The sequence below is a fragment of the Homo sapiens genome, chromosome 2 (assembly GCF_000001405.40).
Source record: "Homo sapiens chromosome 2, GRCh38.p14 Primary Assembly".
NCBI lineage: Eukaryota > Metazoa > Chordata > Mammalia > Primates > Hominidae > Homo > Homo sapiens.
In genome coordinates this window covers 91,636,071-91,662,038 of record NC_000002.12, presented here as the reverse complement: position 1 = coordinate 91,662,038, position 25,968 = coordinate 91,636,071, and the positions used below count along the sequence as shown (strand labels likewise).

Genomic DNA, 25,968 nt, shown 5'->3' with positions numbered 1-25,968 from the left:
TAAGATCTTTCACCTTGAAAACCCTATGGACTCCTCTAGAAAGCTTCTAGAACTGATAAAAGAATTCAGCCAAGTTTCCAGATACAAGATTAATGTACACAAATCAGTAGCTCTTCTATACATCAGCAGCTACCAAGCAGAGAATCACATCAAGAACTCAACCCCTTTTACAATAGCTGCAAAAAAAAAAAAAAAAAAAAAAAAAAACTTAGGAATATACCTAGCAAAGGAATCAAAAGACCTCTACGATGAAAATTACAAAACACTGCTGAAAGAAATCATAGTTGGAGCCAAGCATGTTGGCACATGCCTATAATCCCAGCTACTCGGGAAGCTGAGGCAGGAGAATCGCTTGAACCTGGGAGGCAGAAGTTGTAGTGAGCCGAGATCACACCATTGCACTCCCACCTCAGCGACAAGAGCGAAACTCCCTCTGAAGAAAAAAAAAAAAGAAAGAAAGAAAAGAAATCATAGATGACACAAACAGATGGAAACGCATCCCCATGCTCGTGGATGGGTAGAACCAATATTGTGAAAATTACCATTCTGTTAAAGGCAATCTACAAATTCAATGCAATCCCCATCTGAATACCACCATCATTCTTCACAGAATTACAAAAACAATTCTAAAATTAATATGGAACCAAAAGAGAGCCATGTAGCCCAACCAAGGCTAAGCAAAAAGAACAAACCTAGAGGCATCACAGTACTTGATTTCAAACTGTACAATAAGGCCATAGTTACCAAAACAGCATGGTACTGGTTTAAAAATACGCACATAGACTAATGTAACAGAAGAGAGAACCCATAAATTAACCCAAATACTTACAGCCAACTGATCTTCGACAAAGTAAGCAAAAAATAAAGTGGGGAAAGGACACCCTTTTCAACACATGATGTTGGGATAATTGGCGAGCCACATGTAGGGGAATAAAACTGGATTCTCATCTCTCACCTTATACAAAAATCTACTCAAGATGGATTAAAAACTTAAACCTAATTCCTGAACTATAAAAATTCTAGAAGATAACACTGGATAAACTCTTCTAGACATTGGCATAGGCAAGGATTTCATGACCAAGAACCCAAATGCAAATGCAATAAAAACAAAGATAAATAGCTGGGACTTAATTAAACTAAAGAGCTTTTGCATGGCAAAGGGAACAGTCAGTAGAGTAAATAGCCAACAGAGTGGGACCCCTGACCCTGACCCCTAACCTTAACCCTAATCCCTAACCCTAACCCCTAACCACAACTCTCACCCTCCCCCTAACCCAACCCTAACCCCTAATCCCTAACCCCCAACCTCTCTTAACCCCTAACTCTAAATGTTGACTCCTAACCCCTAACTCTGACCCCAACCACTATCTCCAACCCCTAACCCTAAACTTAACCCCTAACACCAACCTTAACCCTAGGTTCGTTACTACGTTTGTATTGACTATGTCAATGTTGATTATTATGATCGCTGTCTTAGGACTGCACGGCAGCGAGGGGATTGTGGATCTTATATTAATGTTTTTGTGTCGAGGCAGTGCATTAGCACTACAGGTGCTTGTTACATGAGCAAGGGGGGTGTCATATTTTGAGTGTCATGTCTGCATTAGGAATGCTGCATTTGTCTTCCGAGGCTGCGGTGTGGATCTCGCACTGTGGCCGCCTCACCTTGGCTGGGGAGAACCTCGGTGGGCAGGATTCAGAGGGGCTTTTGGTTTCCTGTTTTCCACACTGAACCCTTCTAACTGGTCTCTGACCCTGATTATTCAGGGCTGCAAACAGGAAGGATTTTATTCACCGTCGATGCGGCCCCGAGTTGTCCCAAAGCGAGGCAGTGCCCCCAAGGTCCGTGCTGAGGAGAACGCTGCTCTGCCTTCACGTTGTCCCCCTGGTCTGTGCTGAGCAGAACGCAGCTCCGCCCTCGCGGTGCCCCTGGCCCGCCCGGGTCTGTGCCAAGGAGAACACTGCTCCGCCCTCGCGATGCTCTCCGAGTCTGTGCTGAGCACAACGCAGCTCCGCCCTCGCAAAGGCACAGCGCGGGCGCAGGCGCGGGGCGGTGCACAGCGCGGGCGCAGGCGCCGAGAGGCGCACGGGAGACCTCAGGCCCAGACTCCACTCCCCAGCTGTGAAAGGGTAAGAATTGAGGGTGGCTGAGGCTCGGGGTTGTTCAGGGCGGGGTGGGCTCTGGACCCAGCAGGCCCGGCACCCAGGTCAGGGATCCAGGGGAGGCCAGGTGGGGCGAAGGCCAAGAAGGGGCCGGGGCTGGTCAGGAAGGGCTCCTGGTGACCAGAGCACTTTGCGTGAGCCAGCGTGGGAGGAAGGTGGGCTGGATGAGCCAGGGAGGCGCCGGGAGGGGCCTTGGCAGAGGCGACCCCCTCTGTCAGCCCCCAGGCCACTGAACCCTGGGTAGCAAGAACCGGCAGGGGAGGCTGCAGACGGAGGAGTGGAGGCTCCTTGGCTTTGGGGGCTCTGAGTAGAAGCATCTAGGGGGTCCCTCAAGAGGCCCCCAAATGCTGCCCCATGGTGAGAAGACAGGGAGAGGCCCTGCAGGGACCCCCCCGGGTTACAAAGGGCTGCCACTGTGAGAAGGCAACGCTGCTGGCAGGGGCTGGGCTTTCTACCTCACCAAGCCTCTTCCCACCCAAAGGGCCCAGAGAGGGGCAGCTGCCCCCCCAGCGGGCACAGCACCTCCTCCCTCTGTGATGGGGTGGGGCCCACAGTCTCCTTTCTCGCGGCCTGCCTGGGCTGACCCTGGGTCCCAGCTCGGCCATGGGGCTTCGGCATGTAAAGCCCTTGGGGGGCAGAGCCTCCCACCCCCGCCAGCTTCTGGCTCTCTGTGTCGCCCCCAGCACTGGACTGGTGCCTTGGAGGGAGGCTCCGCTCTCCTCCACATCAACCCGCTGAGGAGTTCTGTCTTCCCAGGGTTGTGAGAGAAATCAGCTCTGCAGGCCTATGTCCAAGTCTAGGCGCCGCCTCCTCCAGGGAGCCTTCCAGACCTGATCTGTGTGGCAGAGGCCCAGAAGGACCTGGGTGTGGGGATCCTAGAGGGAGGCGGGGGACCCAGCGTGAGGAGAGAGGGTCCCAGTGCTTCCTCCTGAGTGAGGGTCACCCATCTGACTCCGGCTGCACAGAGCCACTCCCTCTAAGCGCTCCTGCTCTCTGCCTTCCTGCATTAGCTTTTGCCTGTACCCGGCCCAGCAAACCCCTGCTCATCTTTCAGACCCAAGTTCAAGGCCTCCTCCCACTCCGGGTGGCTCATCACCTGGCCTCCCCAGGCAGAGAGGCTAGGCTCCTGCTCACTGGGGCGTCTCCCTTGCCCACTGGCGCGGGACTACAAGGAAAGGGGTTGACCCCCACCCTCCCCCGCCACGCCCAGGAGGGTGCAGACACAACTGGGAAGGTGCTAGAGGCCCCGGGGGGAGGCTGGGCCAGCACCAGGCATTGGGGGGCAGGTTCCCGTCTCTATACCCCAGCCCCAGGAGGACAGCACGTGCCCCTCCCGCTGCCCCACCTGTCACCCACCTGCTGGCCCCGGGCTGTCTCTGCTCCTGGCTCCCCTCCCAGCTGCGTCCCCAGCTGCCTCTCCAGGGAGGAGTGACAGCTGGCCTGTGCCACACCCTCGAGCCCCCCCCCACGGACTACCCCCTCCCTGGGGCAGGACCCCTGCCTGTGGCACAACCAAGGGGCCTGCTGATGGGGGCTCATGTGAGCAGTGCCCCAGCTGTGGGTGTGGGTGCTGCCAGCTGCCACCGCCTTTGCCCTGGTTTCCCAGATAGACCCCGACCCACACTCCGAAGCTGTATCATGAATGCTGTGGTGGGCGGCTGGTGGGGAGCGGGGTTGCCGTCCCACTACCCTCTGGAAGCCTCAGCCATGAAGGGCCCCTGTGGGCACCTTTTCCCGGCACACGGTGCTGTGTCTCTCCACTCTTGGGCTCTGCAGTGACTTGAGGGTTCAAGTCTATGATCCCACGGGAGGCTGGGCTAATGAGGGGACCAGAGACCTCAGTGCTGTGCAGGGAGTCCCGAACCACCCTGGTGGAAGGCCCTGCCCAACTCCCCAGTCCTCCCGCCAGCTCCCTGTGGTGTCCAGGAGACCTGTGGTCAGGCCTGGAGGAGAAGCTCCTCCTCCCCTCGACATCCTCCCTGCAGCCCTTGCTCTTCACCAGAGCCTCCTGACTCCCCAGGACCCCAGAGAGGACCGACCCTCTCCAGCCGACCTCTGGGCTCAGGACAGCTGGGTGGGGCAGCCACAGGAGCTGCCTGTAGGGAGCAGAGTCAGGACGGGGACCGAGCCGGACACCCATTCTGGAAGTGTCTGCACTTCCAGGCAGGGGAAGGACGGCAATGGGTAGCTGGGAGTGCTGGGCCGAAGATGGGCATTGTCAGGCCCTCAGTGGGGACTGGGAGGTAGAGGTGGGGAGGTCTGTGGAGGAAGGAGAAGAAGGGCCAGTGTCCCGAGTCGGGGGTGGTTGGCAGTGGACGAGGCCGACAGGAACAGACCTGAGCTTGGGGAGCTCCACTCAGAACGAGGCATCCTTCAGGGTTCTGTGCATACTGGTGTCCCTGGCTGGGGGCCAGGCCCCGAAGTGGAGCCTGGGACTGTGAGGGTGGGGGTGTGTGCTGGGGTGGGAGGTGGATGGAGCCCCCCCGTAACCGCCTGGCTGCTTGGGCTGAACCTTGGACTTCGGAGCCAGAACAGACATAGGAAATGGCCTAATTGCATTTGCGCAGGAACACCAAATCCCTCGCAGCTGCACGGGGCTGAGCCGGGGCCACAGGCAGGGTCGGCCATCCCAGAGTCCTGACAGCTCCGTGGTGCATGCCAAGGGGCCTGGGCCGCTGGCCGGGGGGCGCCTTTCCCAGGCCAGAGGCCCCCACCCCACCCCAGGAGAGCTGCCCCCCTTTCAGTTCCCAGAACGGAGCCCAGCTGTGGAATAGTGATGCGGTGAGGTCATGGGGAGGGGGCCCGCATGACTCATATCCTGGGGGAGGGGAAAGGGAGGAGACGGAGAAGGGGCCCAGAGGCCTCCACGTTCTCAGCTCTGCTGGGTCAGAGGCCAGGGGCTGGCGGGGCTTCTCCCCAGCACTGGGTTTTAGGGGAGACACCAGGAGATGCTTACTCTGCATCCCCACTCTGTCCCCCAGGCCCCTAGCCAGGGAGAGCTCAGTCAGAGTGATCCTCCAGGGGCCCAGCTCTGCATGGATGATGTTCCCAGAGTACACACCTGGGCCTCGTGCCAGGGCCGGCACCGCCGTTGTCGGGGCCATGGCAAGGCAAACAGTCAATGTTTGCCTCACTAAAGTGAGGCTGCAGCACCCTGAAGGGATCCCTGGAGGGGGACGTGGTCCCCTTGTTCCCAAGCCTGTCTGCACATGCACGTGGATGTCAAGGGTTCCCGTGTGTGAGCACGTGCATATTTGTATGAGCATGGGGTGCAGGCATGTGTGCCTGTGTGGCCGGAGCGTGGGCTCGTGGAGAATGTGTGTGAGTTGGGTGTGCACCTGCATGTGCCCCAGGCCTAGGGAGTCCCGCGCCCGGCCACACTCCATGTGTTGGGCATGAGCTGTGAGCAGAGTGAGGGCCTTTATGGGGCTGTTGGGGCCCGGACTCGTTGCCCTTAGGGGTGGACCTAAGGAAACGTGTGCACACGGGCTTCTGGGGTCTCTGTGCCAATGTGTGCTTCCAAGCCACGCCCCCCCATGGCTTGGTGGAGGGGGTCTGTGGAGCTGGAGTGAGGGCCCTGGACCCATTGGAAGCCCAGGTCCAAGGAGGAGCTTGGGCTCCATCTCATGCCCCAGGCCCAAGGACACACACCCCAGCTGAGACCTTGCTCACATGGAGGGGCTGGGACATGGGAACATGGGGAGCAACATGGCCAGGCTTCTCCTCCGTGGAACCCCTCCACCTCCTCAATACTCTGCCCCAGCTCTGCGCCGCCCTCCATTTGGAGGGGCTGGATCGTGAGTGGGAGCGTGAGTGAGCATGAGGGCCCCTGCACCCCAGGCTCTGCCTCCCCATGTGGAACGAGGCCCAGCAGCCCCCAGCCACGCGGCTACTACTGCATTCAATCAGTGCCCCTCCATCTAACAAATACTCCCTCATATAATCAGTACTCCTCCATCCAATCAATATTCCTTCATCAACACCTTTCTATACAACCAATAGTCCTCCATCTAATCAATGCTCCTCCATCCAACCAATACTCTGCAATTTAACCACTGTCCCTCCATCCATTCAATGTCCCTCCATCCATCCCATGGTCCCCCAGCCCTACCCCATGAGCAGCATGGAGGCAGACCCACATCTGTCTTGTGCGCCATCATCTCCCTGATGCTCTTCAGGAAAGGGAGGTGTCTCACAATTGCATTGAATGGAGGAAGGCACATCTTTCCAGTGATCCCCACTCTAGGGCTGCATTGGGAAATCGCTCCCAGGGAAAACACAAACACAAAGCAGAGGGTTGCCCAGTGTGACCCTTTGATGTGACCACGGTGGCTGTCCACTAAGGTAATCCTGATGCTTTTCCTCCTCTGCAGACTGCTGGCCAGACCCCCAAGCTAGCCCGCCAGGCCTCCATAGAGCTGCCCAGCATGGCTGCGTCCAGTACCAAGAGTTGGTGGGAGACGGGTGAAGTACAGGCTCAGTCTGCGGCCAAGACTCCATCCTGCAAGGTAAGGTCCCCTCCAGGGGCAAGGCTGGGCTGCAGAGCCAGCACCGGGGAGTTTAGTAGCAGGCCAGGTTTCCTTGTTAAGACAAGCGTGGGACTGTCCAGGATGAATGTGGGCAGACAGAACCCTGAGGTATTGCAGTAGGGTTGGGTTCACCCTTGCTGGTGTAGAAGGCTGTGTTGTCCGAGTGGAGGTGGATGGCACCTTTATTCCTTTCCCTGCTTCTTCCACTGGGATCGCACAGAAAAAGTTTTGGTAGGCAGATCCCAGGCCCCCTGGCCAGGTAAGGCAAGGCAGGAGAGAAGGGCCCAGGGCTTCTACTCCCCAAGATCCAGGGGTCTGCCCTTGTGACATACCCTTCTGCTGCCCCCAGGATATTGTGGCTGGAGACATGAGCAAGAAAAGCCTCTGGGAGCAGAAGGGAGGCTCCAAGACCTCATCAACAATTAAGGTAGAGCCTAAATGTGGTTGGTGCAGGCAGGAAATATTAACTCATTTCATTGTCACATGAAACCAGAAGACATAAAACAGTTAAAATAGGCCAGGCACAGTGGCTCACACCTGTAATCCCAGCACTTTGGGAGGCCGAGGCGGGTGGATCACGAGGTCAGGAGGAGACCATCCTGGCCAACGTGGTGAAACTCGGTCTATACTAAAAATACAAAAAAAAAAAAAAATTAGCCGAGCGTAGGGGCACATGCCTGTAATTCCAGCTACTTGGGAGGCTGAGGCAGGAGAATCACTTGAACCAGCAAGTTGGAAGTTGCAGTGAGCTGAGCTCACACCCTGCACTCCAGCCTGGCGACAGAGGGAGACTCAGTCTCAAAAAACAAACACACAAGCAAATAAAAAAAACAAAACAACTTGACACACTTAGAAAATGAAGGTTTGTGCTATTAGTTTTCTTTTATTTTAGAAAAACAAAGCATTGTTTAAATATTTCTTACAAGTACAAATATAATTTAAATTTAATAAATGTTCAAAAATATCTGTAATTGAGTTTCATTCAGCAGACATATGTCTAATAGAGAACTTGCTAAGTAAGATATAAAGGATGATTACATGAAAAAATCACAAAATTGTCAGTAAGAGTCTTAAAAGTCAGTGATAGGACAGTAGTTAAAAGATATCAAATAGTTATTTATTCTTAAACATTAAACAGGATATTAATAGTTTTAATAATCTTGAAGTTTGACAACACTGTAAAAACATTACAGACCACTTTTATTTATGAAAATACGTGCAAATAGCAAACACCAGTTGGGCTTAAGGCTGCTACTTACTTACTCAGTAAGTGACAAAGCTGGAATTCAAACCAGGTTTGAGCTATACCACTACTACCCTTGAAAAGGTTTCATTACACTCAGCTTTCCTTAATTTCTTAAACTCTTTTTTTTTTTTTTTTTTTGATTGAGACAGAATCTTGCTCTATTGCCCAGGCGGGAGTGCAGTGACATGATCGTGGCTCACTGCAACCTCTGCCTCCCAGATTCAAGCAATTCTCATGCCTCAGCCTCCCAAGTAGCTGTGATTACCCGTGTGCATCACCACACCTGGCTAATTTTTGTGCTTTTAGCAGAGGTGGTGTTTTGCCATGTCAGCGAGGCTGATCTTGAACTCCTGACCTCAGGTGATCCGATCCACCCGCCTCAGCCTCCCAAAATGCTGATATTACTGGTGTGAGCCACCACGCCTGGCCAATTTCTTAAACTTTTGATTATACTAAATATGGTCCTTCTGCGTGATAACACTGTTTTTCCTTTTATAAAATTAATCTCTTAAAATACTTTAAAATTCAAAGTACACTTTTTAGATTCTTTAAAATACTCTTTGCCATATTCATGGCCTTTAGATGTGTGATCATAGCCTATTTGCTTTTCATTGACTTAGTTTCATATTTCTTTGCCTTTTTCCCCCTACTTTTCCTTATAGAACTATTTACTAGTAATGAAATCATTTTAAAGAATACACTTTTTATTCCACCTGCTAACTGTTAAGAGAATGTTTTATAATCACTCTGTTCATGGTCTGTAAGTTTCTTTTCTAAACTATCTTTTCAGGATACATATTTACTAACTTGCTTTCAAATGAATGTGGTCATGTCTATGCAGCAAGTTTCTTTTCTTTCTTCTTTTCTTCTTCTCTTTTTTCTTTTTCTTTTCTTTCTTTTTTAAGGCAAGATTTCGCTCTGTAGCCCAGGTTGAAGTGCAGTTGTACAAACATGACTCACTGTAGCCTCAACCTCTCTGGCTCAAGTGATCTGCCCACTTCAGCCTCCCAACCAAGTAGCTGGGACTGCAGGTGTGCACCACCCTGCTCTGCTAAGTTATTTAGTTTTTTGTAGACATGGATTCTCAGTGTGTTGCCCAGGCTGGTCTTGAACTCCTGGACTCAAGCCATCTTCCTGCCTTGACCTCCCAAAGTGATAAGATTACAGGCTTGAGACATTATGCCCAACCTCTTTTTCTTTTTCTTTCTTTCTTTTTTTTTTTTTTTTTTTTTTTTGAGACAGTCTTGCTCTTGTTGCCCAGGCTGGAGTGCAGTAGTGGCATGATCTTGGCTCACCGCAACCTCCACTTCCCGGGTTCATGCGATTCTCCTGCCTCAGCCTCCCGAGTAGCTGGGATTACAGGCATGCACCACCACACCCAGCTGATTTTGTATTTTTTAGTAGAGACAGGGTTTCTCCATGTTGGTCAGCCTGGTCTTGAACTCCCGACCTCAGGTGATCTGCCCGCCTTGGCCTCCCAAAGTGCTGGGATTACAGGTGTGAGCCACCATTCCTGGCCCTCTTTTTCTTTTTAACTGAGCTTATTTATCTCTTCCCCAGCTTGAGTCTGGGTCCTACTGTCTTGGTCAGAGTATTTTACTATATTGACCTGGACAATTCTGCCATCATGAACCATATTCCAAACCTAAATATGTAAGAACATAGAAAGATTATTTTAGCAGGAGAATTTTAACACACACACACACACTTTATTCTGAAAATTTAGCAACAAAATGAAAGGTGAGTTGTGGTAGTTGATGTATCAACAAATAGAAAGAAGAAAGCCTGTAATCTGTTTCAGAATGCTATTTCTGGGGCTGGTAACATCAAAAATAATCAAATTAAGTGTTAACTTGCTGACTCGTAAGATTTTCTCTAATTTAGAATTGGAGAACATATATACTCCTATTACCACTTTCCATCTTTCTCAAATATAGTTTTTATAGTTTTCTGTTGGCTTCATCATCGTATTGAAAGATTATTAATCACTTACATATATGTAGTTTTCTGTTAAGTCCTGTTCAGTATATTACAAAATTTTGATCTGTGTATGTAATATCAATTAATAAGATGGTGTTAGTTAAATCAGATTACGTGTTCATTCATTAAGTCATTGTTAACACTTCACAGAATATAAATCGTGTTCCATGAGTATGAATTTCTCTCTGAATTCCACATAATTGTCTTAAAATTATGCACCATTTATCGTTAAGAGTGAAAGATTATGTGTCATTTATTGTAGTGGTAGAAGAAAATAAAACCAAAACAGAATCCAATCCAAAAGCTTAGGTTTTTGTTGCTACTACAGTAATTACATCTTCATATACTAAGGACAGCACATTATTACTGTCCAAGAATGGTGCCTCGGACAACTGGTTGCTTACACTGTTTTCAGAGATGAAATAGGAACATAAGCAGGAAGATTTTTGTCTAAATATGAAGCAAGAAAGGCTTAAATGTCTTTATTCAGGGGATTAGGCATCATAAGTTTTTTTTTTTAGAGAAATTGTTTTCATGATATTTCCTATCTCCTTTTGTCACTTTGCTTTTGTCGGTAAATTTTACAACTAAATGAGGATTACCAGGCATAAAAAGCAGCAGACAATCATGATGCAAACTGAAAATAATCAATCAAAACTGACCCAGAACTTAAATAGATGTTAAAATTAGCAGAGGAGGACATTAAAACTGTTTTTATACATGTATCTCATATAATCAAAACATTAAATAGAGACATGGGAGATAAACAAGAAAAGCCAAAATCAAACTTTCAAAGACAAAAACATTTGAGATGAAAATTACATTGGATGAACTAAAGCAGATTAGAAACTGCAGAAGAAAAGATTAGCAAACTTGAAGATACAAGAACAGACACTAGCTAAAGTACAAAAAGAAAAAAAAATCTTAAAAAGTGATTTTTAAAAAGCATCAGTGAGCAGTCAGGCAACTTCAAATGGCCTAATAATATGCAGGTAACTGGAGTTCCCAAAGGAGAAAAAAAAGAAAGAGAAAAAAATACTTGAAGAAACAACTGCTGAAAATGTTCTAGCCATAAGAAGACCTATTAACTCACGGATCCAAGAAACTCAGCAAACCCCAAGCACAAGAAACATGAAGAAAATTACACTAAGGGATAACATAATCAAATTGTTCAAAATCAAGGAAACATTATTAATAGCAGGTGTATAAAAAGACATGTTACCTATAGAAGAACAAAGATAAGAACAACATCAGATTTCTTTTGAGAAACAATGCAAGTGAGAAGACAGCGGTACATCTCTAAAGTTCTAGAAGAAAAAAGGCCAACTAGAATTCTATGCCTGGCAAAAATATCTTTCAAAAATGAAGGTGAAATAAAGACACACCAGAAACATAAATAATGAAATAATTCATCACCAGGAGACCTTCACTGCAAGAAATGTTAAAGGATATTCTTCAGAAACAAAATGATGTCAGATGAAAATCTGGATCAATACTAAGGAATAAAGAGCACCAAAGTGGTAACTATATGAGCAAACATCTTTTAAATTTTTTATTATTTAAATCTCTAAGAGATACATGTTTAATAAAAAAACAGCAAAATATTACAGAGTTTATGACATATGTAAAAGTCAAATGCATGGCAGCAATAGCACAAAGTGCAGGAGGGAGGAAAAGAAAGTAAATGAAGGAATGCTTTTATTATAGATGAAGTGTACAATATTACTTGAAGGTAGACCTCTCTAAATGTGCACTATAATCTTAAAGGAACCACAAAAATAATTTTTAAAAATAGGTAAAAGTAATAAAAGGAGGCAAACTGGAATCATAATAAATAATATAAGCTGGGCACGGTGGCTCACGCCTGTAATCCCAGCACTTTGGGAGGCCGAGGTAAGCGGATCACAAGGTCAGGAGATCGAGACCATCTTGGCCAACATGGTGAAACCCCGTCTCTACTAAAAATACAAAAATTAGCTGGGTGTGGTGGTGCACACCTGTAATCCCAGCTACTCAGGAGACTGAGGCAGGAGAATCGCTTGAACCCAGGAGGCGGAGACTCTAGTGAGCCGAGATAGCGCCACTGCACTCCAGCCTGGCAACAGAGCGAGACTCTCTCTCAAAAAAAAAAATAAATAAAGTAAAAGAATGCAAGAAGACCAGGTGCAATGGCTCACACCTGTAATCCCAGCACTCTGGGTGGCCAAGGCAGGAGACTCACTTGAGCTCAGGAGTATGAGACCAGCCTGGACAACATAGTGAGACCCCATATATAAAAAAATAAAGTAGCCGGGTATGGTGGTGCACAACTGTGGTCTCCACTATTGGGAGGCTGAGGTACATCACTTGAGCCTAGCAGGTCAAGGCTGCAGTAAGGTATGATCACACCACTGCACTCTAGCTTGGGTGACAGAGCAAGACCCCATCTTGGCAGGTGGGGGATGCAAGAAAAATGCAAGGAACAGATAGAGATAAATAGAAAACATATAAGAAGACAATCATATTAAATGTACATGGTCTAAATACCCCCAATTAAAAAGCAGAGGTTTTAGACCATATACATTTAATGTGATTGTCTTCTTATATGTTTTTATCAGAGAAATAAAACTATCGCCTTCAAGAAACACAAGTTAAATACAAAGATGCAAACAGGTTAAAATAAAAGAATGGAATAATATATACCATGCTTACGCTAGTCAAGAGAAAGCTAGAGTAGAAATACTAATATCAGGCAAAGCATATTTCAGAGTTAAACACAACATTTTTCCACTATTTGCAGTCAAAAGTATCGTTAACACTCTCTTTACTCTGCTCAAAGTTACAGAGTTCTTTTGTATAAACATTAGAACACTTATCACAGCCTGCCTATAATGGAGAATAATTCCATGTTGTATACTATACAACACTCTTACTAAAGTCCATTAGACAGAAATATGTAGCATTTAAGACACCTTCCAATTATAAAACTCTATGCAAACAAAAATTAACAACGCAGATCTGAGACTATTATATTATCCTGTGAAGGAGGGTCTGTCTGTCTGCACAGTTGGTCCTAGGCTGGCTTCTGAGGACTTGAATTTCAAGAGGGTTCCCTAACTGGTAATCATGGTTTACTGTATCTAGACTATGGAAATAATGTGGCTTATCCTGCTATTCTTTTTGTGAGTCTGGAAATTTCACACATGCTAGGCAGAGTACACATATGTGACCAGCCAAGATAAAAACTGTGTTTCTTGGGAAGTCACATAGGTTGTTGTATTTTCATTAAGGGGGAAAGAAGGTAGTCTGTGTGATCCTCATGGAAGGCACAGCACATAAGGAAGCCGGTACATGGATTTTTCCAGACTCTGTCAGTGTCTTTTGCCATTGAGATCTTTCTACTATATATCCATACTATGTTACAGTAATAAATCTTAGCCATTACAACCCTAAGCTGATCCCATGAGTCCTTCTAGCAAATCTCCAAACATGGAGGCAGTCTTGTGGATCCCTGACACAAATATAGTGTTGTGATCTCTTAAGGTTTATCCTTCCTCTTAAACTATAAAGAGCTGGCTGGGCACAGTGGCTCACGCTTGTAATGCCAGCACTTTGGGAGGCCGAGGCGGGTGGATCACGAGGTCAAAAGATTGAGATCATCCTAGCCAACATGGCGAAACCCCGTCTCTACTAAAACTACAAAAATTAGCTGGGCGTGGTGGCACACATCTGTAGTCCCAGCTACTCGGGAGGCTGAGGCAGGAGAGTCGCTTGAACCAGGGAGGCAGAGGTTGCAGTAAGCCGAGATCGCACCACTGCACTCCAGCCTGGTGACAGAGGGAAACTTCATCTCAAAAAAAAGAAAAAAACTATAAAGGGCTGGGTGCAGTGGCTCACGCCTATAATACTAGCACCTTGGCAGGCCCGGGTGGGAGAATTGCTTGGGCCCAGGAATTGAGACCAACCTGGACAACAGAGCAAGACCCTGTCTCTTAAAAAAAAAAAAAAAAAAGAAAAGTTGGCCGGGTGTGATGGATCACGCCTGTAGTCCCAACACTTTGGGAGGCCGAGGTGGGCAAATCACAAGGTCAAGAGTTCGAGACCAGCCAGGCCAACATGGTGAAACCCCATCTCTATCAAAAAAAGTACAAAAAATTCACTGGGCATGGTGGTGGGCACCTGTAATCCCAGCTACTTGGAAGGTTGAGGCAGGAGAATCACTTGAACCCAGGAGGCAGAGGTTGCAGTGAGCTGAGATCACGCCACTGCATTCCAGCCCGGTGACAGTGTGAGACTCCATCTCAAAAAAATAAAAAAGAAAAGAAAAGAAAAGAAAAGTTAGCCAGGTATGGTGGCATGCATTTGTGATCCCAGCTACTCTAGAGGCTGAGACAGGAGGACTGCTTGAGCCTAAGAAGTCAAGGTTGCAGTAAGCCATGATCATGCTACTGCATTCCAGCTTAAACAACTGAGATGCTATCTCTTAAAAACAGAAGTAGAAGCAAACAACTATAGGGGAAAATGAGGGATACATACTTTAAGAATTTTTAAAAATTTACATGGAAAAACACCAGGATTCTATAGAAAATAAAACAGTATTAAATAACATTATTTATAAAATAGATACTAGCAAATTACCTTACGTAAAGATTCAAGTCAGTAACTTAAAGGATCTTACATAAAAGTACTTTCCGTTGGTTGGAGGAGAGATTTTTACTATACACTGTTTTTCAATTTTTTTAGACAAATTACATTTAAAAGTTTAAATTTGCTTATCTACATTCTTAATGTGAATTGCCACCTTACTATAGGAAGGCTATTTTTGTTCCTGCAGTCTACAAAAAGAACAAAAATATTAAAAACGTACAACTCTTCTCACAGAACTAAGTTGGTTTTATACAAAGACATCTGGCACAAAATACAATGATATTTCAATATAGAATCACAGCAGGGGATGAGGGTGGAGAAGGAAGAGATTACCAGTTCTAAGAGGGGAGACAACAGAAGTATTTTTTTAATGTCTTATTTTAAGAGTAAAACACCTGCTTTTTTTTTGAGATGGAGTTTTAGGCGGGAGTGCAGTGGAACGATCTCGGCTCACTGCAATCTCTGCCTCCAGGATTCAAGTGATTCTCCTGCCTCAGCCTCTTGAGTAGCTGGGATTACAGGCACACGTCACCACGCCAAGCTAATTTTTGTATTTTTACTAGAGAGGGGGTTTCACCACATTGGCCAGGCTGGTTTCAAACTCCTGACCTCAGCGTCAGCCTCCCAAAGTGCTAGGATTACAGGCGTGAGCCACCATGCCCAGCCAACACTGAACATTTTGTTCAGAACTAGTTAAGAAAACAGAAATATACGTTGGGGGTTTATGGATTACTTATTTTTGGGGTGCAATACTGGGAATAGAAGAGAAAGGAGCTTCCTTTCCCTCTCCTTCTTTCATTCATTCATTCATTTTGAGAAGAAGTCCTGCTCTGTTGCCCAGGATGGAGTGCAGTGGTGAAAACTCAGCTCACTGCAACCTCCACCTCCTGGGTTCAAGCAATTCTCCTGCCTCAGCCTCCCAAGTAGCTGAGATTACAGGCACGCACCACCACACACGGTTAATTTTTATATTTTTTTAGTAGAGACAGGGTTTTGCCATTTTGGCTAGGCTGGTCTCCAACTCCTGACCTCAGGTGATCCACCCGCCTCAGCCTCCCAAAGTGCTGGGATTACAGGCATGAGCCACCGCACCTGGCCAAGAAAGGAGCTTTAGATAAATAAAATGATTAAACATTTGTAGCATGTAGAATGAAACTATTCCCTTAGTAATACTCAAATTATCCAGATTTCCAAGATGTTGGTAGCACCCCGAGAGCTTCAAAAGGGAAATTAAAAGAAAAACGACGTTACCCTTCCTGAAACACAGATTCACTGTTTGCCATATTCTTTTCTCTAGTAAAAGATGAATAAAGTTTCCTCTGGAAAAACTAAAAACAATCTGAGGTATATTTCAGAGAAAACAAAATTGCTTGATAAAAATGCCATGTTAACAACTGAGGAAATTATTTTACATATATTAATTTTAACACAGGAATAATATGTCAAACCAGGATTTCTCAACCTCAGCACTATCGACATTTTAAGCTGTATAGTTTTTGGTGTGGGAGGCTGTCCTGTATATTGTAGAATGTTTAGTGGCAGCCCTGGCCTCTACCCAAGAGGCCAGTAGGACCCACCTCCTCATTCAAGCTAATGCACTAAATTTTTCCCTTCATTGACAAATCCCATTAATGCATGTATTTATCCCATTAGTGACTCTCTTGTGTTCCAGGTACTTTGTTAGGCACCAGAGAAAATATGATAAAGCAAAACAGCTATTTTCCTCACTCTCATGGTGCTTACAGCCATGGTGGGAAAAATCCATAGGAAAAGACTCACATACACAAATGCAGGCAGAATAAAAAAACTCACACAAACAAACGTTGCAGATGTTGTTAAGTTACATAAAGGAGATATGCATGGCTGTGCATGGTGGCTCGTGCCTGTAATCTTAGCACTTGGGGAGGCCAAGGCAGGTGGATCACTTGAGGCCAGGAGCTCAAGACCAGCCTGGCCAACATGGCGAAACCCTGTCTCTACTAAAAATACAAAAATTAGCCAGGCATGGTGGTCCATGCCTATGATCTCAGCTACTTGGGAGACTGAGGTGGGAGGATCACTTGGGCCCAGGAGGCAGAGGGTACAGTGAACTGAGATTGCGCCACTGCAATCTCAGCCTAGGAGACAGAGAGAGACGTCTCCTGTTCTCCTGGAGAACAACAAGTCATGATGTCAGACAAGAACTTGGATTTTGGAGACACGGGTTTGAATTTCAGTCATTCATTCTTTTATTCAGTAAATATCTAGCAAGTACTGACATGTCCCAGATGTTGTTTTACTCACTGGTTATACAATGGGAGGGAGACAGAGAAAGAGAGAGAGAGAGAGAGAGAGAGAGAGAGAGACACGCTATTCTAAAAGCTTGAAGTCTAGGCTGTGCAGAGTGGCTCATGCCTATAATCGCAGCACTCTGGGAGGCTGAGACGGGTGGATCATGAGGTCAGGAGATTGAGATCATCCCGGCTAACACAGTGAAACTCCCTCTCTACAAAAATACAAAAAATTAGCTGAGCATGGTGGCAGGTGCCTATAGTCCCAGCTACTTGGGAGGCTGAGGCAGGAGAATGGCGTGAACCCAGGAAGCGGAGCTTGCAGTGAGCCAAGATCACACCACCGCACTCCAGGCTGGGCGACAGAGCCAGACTCCGTCTCAAAAAAAAAAAAAAAAATGCATAAAGTCTAGATAGACTTTAACCCAGGAATAATCCAAGGAAATGAACAATTACAAATGTGACAAGGGCTGTGAAGGGAAAGTTCACAGCCTTGTCGAAGTGTACAGTAGTTGGGGAGGTTGGCCAAGGCAAGATGTTTAGGAAAGGCTTTCCTGGGGAAATTTCTCTTTGGGTTGAATCACAGTTAAGTAGGCAAAGGGGAAGACAGAGGTAAGGGAAGTATGGCAGGCAGGAAGAATAGGCACTTAATAGCTTTGGGATATTGGGCAGGTCGCTTGATCTTTCTGAGCTTCAGTTTTCTCATCTGGGAAATGAGTTAATAATAGTCGTTTAGAAAGTGTGATGAGGCCAGCCAGGTGTGATGGCTCAGGCCTGTAATCCCAGCACTTTGGGAGGCCGAGGCAGGTAGATCATGAAGTCAGGAGATTGAGACCATCCTCGCCAACATGGTGAAACTCTGTCTCTACTAAAAATACAAAAATTACCCAGGCATGGTGGCGTGTGGGAGGCAGAGGTTGCAGTGAGCCAAGATGGCACCACTGCACTCCAGCCTGGGTGACAGAGCAAGACTCCACCTCAGAAAAAAAAAACAAAAGGAAGAAACTGTGATGAGATCAAAACAATTAATGCATGAGTGTTCTGAACCTCGTTTCTCCCTCTGCTGTATCTATGCAGTTTCTTGACCTGGGCTGTGCTCCAAAGAGGATTCTAGCTTGGCTTTTGTGATAGAGAATGGATACATTATTAGACCTGAAAAGCCAGAGCAGGGAGGAATGGTCCCAAAAGGAAGAAACTGTGCTTGTCTTCACAATAAAGAGCAGAGAAGTGGGGAGAGGTATTGAAAGCTGTGGGTGGAGTTTTGCAGGTAAGATTGTGTGAAAGAGGTGAGGGAACTACAATCTGGGGGAATGTGGATAGGAGAGTAAAAGGGAATTCTAGAGAACAATCCCTACTGACTTCACACAACTTAAGAAATGCAAGTAAAGGGCCGGGCGCGGTGGCCCACACCTGTAATCCCAGTACTTTGGGAGGCAGAGGCAGGTGGATCACTTGAAGTCAGGAGTTCAAGAAGAGCCTGGCCAACATGGTGAAACCCCATCTGGGTTAGTCAGGCATGGTGGCATGTGTCTGTAATCCCAGCTACAGAAAGATAGAGAGGTGGCTGAGGCAGGAGAATTACTCAAACCCAGGAGTTGGAGGTTGCAGTGAGCCGAGATCACACCACTGCACTCCAGTCTGCTGGACAACAGAGCAAGACTCAGGGGGTGGGGTGGGGGAAGGAAAGAAGGAAGGAAGGAAGGAAGAAAGGAAGGAAGGAAGGAAAATAGAAATAGAAATGCAAGTAAAGAATTTCAGTTTGAAAATTGCCTTTTGTCTACTGAACATGAGACTGCTTGGAAACTGGGCAACGTGGATTTTTATAAGTTGTACAAAGCACTTAGCAATTTTCAAACCTCTCCATCCTGCAGAGCCAGCTCAATCACTTCTCCAGAAAGACTTACTGAGTCCTCTGCACTGAACAGGTGTCCTATGCTCCAGGAGAGCCCTGGGCTGGCTCCTAGTGCAGCCGTTATGACCCTGGAATGCACCATCTTTCACATCACTGCCTGGCCTTCTAGAATCTCAGCTTCTTAAATCAAGAAATTGTGTCTTGTTCATGTCTGAATTCCCCAAGTGAACACAGTGAGTGGGTGCTTGACAAATCTTTGTTGGTAATGAGCAAAAAAGGGGATTCTGTGCCCAATACCATGAAATCAATGCACAGAAGATTCAATCAATCAAGAAAGGTGCACAGACACTGGCCACACACACTGACATTTGTTTGCAGATGTTCCAGTCCCCCTGACTTCCACCAATCCATTCATTCATTCCACAAGCATTTTTGCTGGGGTGGAAGCAGGGCCATACAGGGTGTGTACATCACAGATAGGGTGGGTTTGTATAATGAGTATAAAAAACTTCTAGCAGAAGATGACAAAGTATATCAAGAAAGGGCTCTCTTCGAAATCACACCACTGCACTCCAGCCTGGGTAACAGAGGGAGATTCCATCTAAAAAAAAAAAAAAAAAAAAAAACAGGGATGGGGGCAAGGGAGCTCTTTTCTTCCAGTTAGCACAAGATTGCCATTTCAGCTAGGGATTCTGCTGCAACTATCTCCCAGACCCTATTCTAGGGCCAGGGGATAGAAACAGAATCAAAAACATATTCATTGTCTTTTTTGGGCTTATATTATCGAGGAGAGAGAAATAAACAATTTCAAAATAAACAGTGTCATACAGCGCTAAGTGCTATAAATAAAATCAAACAGAATAACGAAAGAGAAAGTAGCTAGACTGGAGGGAAAAGCTGCTTCAGAATGAGTTGTCAAGGAAGCCTCTTTGCAATCAGAAAGGTGAGAAGGATTTAGTCAGGCAAATATCAGGAGTAAATTATTCTTGGAGGAAAGTAAGCCCATGCAAAGGCCCTGGGGCAGAGTGGGCTTATTTGATAAAGAGGTAAAAGGGTCAGGATATCTGTAGCAATAGTGGCCAAGGGAGGGAGAGGTATGAGACAGAGGAGGTGAGCCCTGTTGCCATGGTGAGGGCATGAGGATTTATTCTAAGTTCCAGATACCTGGAGTTAAAGTCCCCTGAACTGGACAACAACTACAAGCCTTCATATCTCAATGCTACCATCTTTAAGCCCCCGTTATAAGAGCTCAGAGGCTTCAGAGATGACAGGAAACACCAGAACGCTATGGTGGAGCATATCTAGGTGCCTTCTCCCAACTCAGATCCTTTGACTGTAGAAAGACACAGATTTCAAGGCTGAGATCCACAAAACTCTAGCAAATACTGCACAGACACTGACCAATGACAGCAGGTGCTGCCTGTCACCCTGGAGCACCAGGCAGGGTTCCAAAGCACCCTTGCTGTGCCAGCCTCTGATTGCTGGTTATAGGGAGGTCTGGGGTAGTCCCAAAAGCTGGGATGTGCAAGGCAGCTGGGGTCAGTCAGGAGGCTCAGGGCAGTGGCAGGAAAATATTTTCCTCCCTGGTAGAGCCACAGCGGGGTATCCAGGCTGAATATTATTGGCGAGAAGGACCATGGCACAGCACCAAGACCTGCAGGACAAACTTTGTTGGAGCTGAATCCAGAAAAACAATCTTCTTCTAAACCACTCTCCTGCCCCTCATTTAATTATTGTGCTTTTGGGTGCACTTGGACTACTCTGAAACATTCAGAACTCTGTCAAAAAAAAAAAAAAAAGACCTCTCTCCTCAGCACCTCTCCCACTTGGGCATCAGTCTTGGCTTCCTCTCTACTTGCTTTCACTTGCTCCTTGTGGCAGAGATTGTCCTCAGCAGATCCCTTCCCTTAGGTTCCTTGCTGTCAAGTGGAGGCTAGGGAGCGAGATTATGGCCAATAGAATGTGGGTGGAACCACAGATCTGAGCCTGAGGAACATCCCACAGGACCCTGAGCTCTTCCTCCAGCTGCTGCAGTGGCCTTGGAAGCCATGTCTGTTCTAGAAGTGTAGCTACAGATGGAGAAGGCCCATGTGCCAGCTAGTCTCCAAAGATGGCGTATTAGGCCATTCTTGCGTTGCTATAAAGAAATATCTGAGATAAGTTAATTTATAAAGAAAAGATTTGTATTGGCTCATTGTTCTGCGGGCTTCACAAGAAGCATGGTGCTGGCATCTGCTTGGTTTCTAAGGCGGCCTAGGAAGCTTACAATCATGAGCAGGCACATCACGTGGCCAAAGCAGGAACAAGCAAGAGAGAGTCAGTGGGTGTGGGGAGGGACATGCCACACACTTTTAAATAACCAGATCTCACAAGAACTCACTATCTCAAAGACAGCAGCAAGCCATGAGGGATCTACCCCCATGGTCAAAACAACTCCCACCATGCCCCAACTCCAGCACTGGAGACTGCAATTTAACTTGAAATCTGGGTGGAGATAAATATCCAAATTATATCAGAGGGCCTTCCCTCGAACCAAACCTCCTGGTTTCCAGGTCCCCTTTCTTGCTGCTTCTGGGCTGGCCTCCTGGGAAGCCAAGACTGCAGTGGCTCTGATGCTGCATGGGGGCTGAGGCTCAGCCATGAGGAGGCTCGTAGCTGCCACTTTGGTCTTTTGGAATCTTTGCTCATGAGAGTCTCCCCGTTGGGCCGCAGCCACCATGCTGAGAAATGAGGGTCATGTGGAGAGGCCACATGGAGGTTTTCTGGTCTAGAGCACAACTGAGCTCCCAGAAAACAGCCAGCATCAATGGCTGGGCATGTAAGCCAGCTGGCATGGACATTCCAGGCCAGTCTGTCCTTTTGTCACCTTAGCTACAGGGAAGGCCCATGACCCCAGAAGTGCCCATCATTATGCTGAATTCCCGAGCCTCAGTGGTCCACCGAGGTGTGGAAGCATGTCTCACAAGGGTCAGATGGAGTTCTGGCCTGGATTGATGTGTAGATGCTTGAGGGAGAAGCTGGGTTTCTTTCAGCTGGGGTGGCTCTGCTGGGATGTGGTGGGCCTTGGGTTTCCAGGTGGTCATTTTCCTTATTTGCAGTAGAAGGAATGAGGCCCATATAGAGAATAGAGCAAATTAAAGGGAGAGAAAGAGAAAAAAGTAAGGAGAGAGGAAGAAAGATAAAAAGAAGGAAAAGAAGAACGGAGGGAAGGAGGAGAGGAAAGAAAAAGAGAAGGAAAATGAGAAGGAGGAGAGGAAGAGGAGAGAGAGAGAGAGAGAGAAAATAACTTACTTGAACCTCAAAATTCAGGCATACCATGGTCTTTGCAGTTATAAAAATCAATAAGTCACCCTTTAGCTGAAACATGTCTAAGTGGAGTTTCAGTTGTTACAACTGACAAAGCCCTGCCTAGCACAAGGAATAAACAATGTTCAGCAGTGGCATGAGAACAAGGGACAGCCTGTTTGGTGGGCAGCACGGCAAATGGCTGTCTGGAAAATATGATGCTTGGGCTGGAGGGCAAAGTGGAATTCACCAGCATGCAGGGTGGAAGTACAACCCTAGCAGACGGAACAGCACTGGCAAAGGTTCAGAGGCAAGAAGCTTTACATGTGAAAGGATACATTTTTAGAACACTAAACATTCTCCCTGTTATCCAAAACACTGAGTTTCTCTTCATTTTTTGGCCAGGTGTGGTGGCTCACGCCTTTAATCCCAGCACTTTAGGGGCTGAGGTGGGTAGATCACCTGAGGTCAGGAGCTCAAACCAGCCTGACCAACATGGCAAAACCCCATCTCTACTAAAAATACAAAAATTAGCTGGGTGAGGTGGCAGACACCTGTAATCCCAGCTACTCGGGAGGCTGAGGGAGAAGAATAACTTGAACCAGGAGGCAGAGGTTACAGTGAGCTGAGATTGTGCCACTGCACTCCAGCCTGGGAGATGAGACAGAGCAAGACTATCTAAAAAAAAAAAAGACTGAGTTTCTCATCATTTTTTGAAATTGAGAGTTTTCTCTGTATCGATAAGACCTTATAATGCAAAATATAATATAATATGCAGCTAGGTCTCCACAGCCTTCAGTCTTTCCCAGGGAGGGTTCCATGAGCTGCTTGTCTGGTGGGGATGGTGGTTTTGAGCAAGTAGTTGGTGTCCTGTCTTACCCAGGCTCTTTCCCACAAAGAGTTGGGCAGAATTAAAAACTACTGGAAACCAAGATCTCTCTCTGATGTTGACTTGTCAGACCTCAGCCTCATCAGCACAGGCTCTAATCAGCTAAGCAGCTAATAAACTCCTGCCTCATTTCATCCAGCCAGAGCCCTGATCTCAGGGGATGATAGTGAGGAAATGATCCTTTCACATGCCTGGCTCCTGCAAAATTGTGCTAAGAGGATTTTCCTCAAACAGTTTAGCACAGAGCAAGGTTTCCTGATCCAGTTAGCAAATATTCTTCTGTTTGAACTCACTGACCCTCCTTTTTCTGAAGATGTATTTTAAATTGGATTTGCTTCACTGACACAAATGGAAAACTTGATAAGAAAATCGGTGGGATTTTACTGCACCCACTGCTGATATCAAGACTGAACTCTGTATTACAGCAACAAAAGCTCTGTTCTGTGGCTACAGGATACACGCTGAGCTCCCAGCCACCAGCCCTGCCAATGTGCTCAGCTTGGCACAGGGCAGGGAGCAGGGTAGAGGGGAGGGGATGGGGAGGGGCAGGTGGAAAAGCTCAGGTGATGAGCCAGCCACATCACCTCAAGCACAGGACCCCTGATGGTGGCCCTAGATCCTCCTCTTGAAATCCAAAGCTCAGTCCCTCTCCCCAGTTCAGGAGCAAGGAGGTTTCTGGCAGGTTAAAATGGCTAACTCAGGAGCTTGCCACCTTTGAAAGGCAGCACTGTGTAGACAGAGGCAGAAGGATGGGCTTACGAGACAGTCCTGGCTTCAAATCCTTCTCTGACTTACCAGCTCTGGAACCTTAAGCAAGTGACGTAACCTCTCTAAGCCTCAGTTGCCTCATCTTTAAAATGGCATCCCTAATCCTTACTATGAAGAGATATCATGGGTAAATGAGATGCTGTACTTACGAAAGGGCAAGTCCCTGTATTGGTCAAGTGTTTTTACAGCATTGCTGCATAACACACAGCCCCAGGGGCTCAGCAGCTCAAAACAAGTGTTTATTTCTTGCTAATAATTTGCAGTGAGCTGGGAAGCCTTGCCTCGGACTGGGGGCCAGGCTCTGTTTGCTTCTGTGTGTCTCATTCACAGGCCGGTGGTTCCCTGGAGCTTGCTCTTCTCATTGTGCAGGGGTGGGGTCAGTGCTGCCACCCAACACCACATTCAGTTAGAGCCTCCAGTCAGACCAGGCATGCACTAACTCTGCTCATGCATCTCTAGCCAAAGCTGGTCATGTGCACAGCAAGAAATCTGCTCTGTCCTGTCCACAGGGAAGTCGCAGGAATGTGAGAAGGCCAGGAAGGATTGTGAGCCAATAATACATCTTGACAATCCACAATAGATGGAAGCTATTATTGATTCATTATCTCAAAATGGCTCCACCAGCCAACCCCTTCTATCCATCCCCAGTGCCACCTTCTAATTCAGGTCCTCGACGCTTTTTGCTTGCATGGCTGCCAGAGCCTTTGGGCAGGTCTCTCTGTGTTGATGTGTTCACCCCCACTCCTATCTCCTCCATCCAACGCTCTACCACCAAGGCAATCCTCCTAAAACACAACCACAGTGTTCTTCACACTCCCTATGATTCCCTGCAACCCACATTATTAATCATTAATCCAATTAATAAAAATTAATGTACTAATCCCCAGCTCCTCAGTGTGGCCCTTCACAATCTGCTTGTCCAGCCTCGTCTCTTGCCTCCCCAGCTTTCCCCAGCAGACCCCTCTCCCACCCATTCCAATGCCATCCTCTTCTCCCAGCCTAGTTCTTTCAGGCCCTGTGCCTTTGCACTTGCCCCTGCCTGAAATGTCCTTCCCACTTCTTCTTGAAGGGGGTGAGTGCCAACTCACCTTTCCAACCCCACACCAATGCACACCAGGATCTCCCCAAGACTCCAGGGTAGTAGTCACCATCTGTATTTCTGCAGCACACTGCACCTGCCTCTAGCACAGCTCGACAGCCCACTGAAGTGAATGATCTGTTCGATCAGTGCCGACTTGCCTTTCTTTCCCAGCTGCAAACCACCCAAGGTGAAGTCATCTTAGCCTCTTGGAGTCAGCCTGACTGGGGTGAACCCATTGATATGTATTGCATAAATGAACATATGACAGTAGTGATGAAGGGTCTCCAGCTATCCGTGTACTCTCTATGCTTCCCAGACTCTTTGGCAGTTGCACTGGGTACTGGCTGAGTTCTGGAAAACAGGAATGTGAGCAGAGTGCTGCAGATCTCCTTGTCAGGAGCACCTAAGAACTGGCATGACTCTACACCCTCTCTCCTTCTGCAATGACCTCGTGTCAAGATGGCAGACCTGCAGAGATGAATGTGCCTGGATACCTGAGTCACCAGGTGGAGGAAACTCCCATTGACATGCATCACACTCCACATATGAAACCCTTCTTTTTCTGCACTGTCACTGGGGTTAGGGATTATTACTCACTGCAACTTAGCCTAGCATTAAGTTGCTTGACTAATACAAGTTTCAATAAATGTCGCTTCATTTCCCATGGCTTCTGACTGAATGCTGTGCAATATCCACAAACCATCCAGATTGTGGTTTATAAATACCACCCTTCACTAAAAGGACTCAGAGCTCCTTGTAGAAATGGCTGATGCTAAGGCTGGGGTAGGGAAGTACAAGGTGAGCCCAGAGTGCTGTGTGGTGCCAGAAAGCAAGGAAGCATTTAAAAAATGACAGGGACATGTCAAAGGACACATCAATCAACTTCAAGGGGCTTCCAGTGGCCAAATCTGGGATGATGTGAGCATCCAAATTAATAATGATAATGGTAGATTATAGTCTATTGAATAAAATGAGAACCTATAACTATAGAAAGAAAGAAAAGGGAAGGAAGAAAAGAAAGAAGAAGAGAGGGAGGGAGGGACGGAGGGAGGGAAGAAGGAAGAAGACTTTCTTACGGTAGAATGCCAATGAATAAATACAGAGGGAATAATAGAAAACTCCATTTGCAAACATGATCATAATAGTTTATTCAAGGAAGAATCATCACTGAGTGAAAATTTAAGAAGGTAAAGTATGTTTTCATTGTCTCATAGCACTTCCACTCATATGGTTTATTAATTGCAAAGAGAAAAAGTGGTAACTTAACAGTAGAGAAACC

General features: G+C 47.0%; 1 pseudogene across 1 annotated transcript, besides 1 other annotated feature; it reads left to right on the top strand.

Annotated features, from left to right (window-relative positions):
- Positions 1-2,089: 2,089 nt before the first annotated feature.
- Positions 2,090-25,356, top strand: LSP1P4 (LSP1 pseudogene 4; annotated as a pseudogene). Its single transcript, NR_027238.1, has 4 exons — positions 2,090-2,130; positions 6,537-6,671; positions 7,042-7,119; positions 25,006-25,356. The product of NR_027238.1 is annotated as an LSP1 pseudogene 4 (transcript).
- Positions 2,849-3,680: an enhancer, noted in NCBI's record as "H3K4me1 hESC enhancer chr2:91846385-91847216 (GRCh37/hg19 assembly coordinates)". NCBI's record gives its function as "activates a minimal SCP1, AML or CMV promoter by ChIP-STARR-seq in naive H9 embryonic stem cells {active_cell/tissue: H9 hESC(naive)}" and the evidence as "EXISTENCE:reporter gene assay evidence [ECO:0000049][PMID:30033119]".
- Positions 25,357-25,968: the final 612 nt, after the last annotated feature.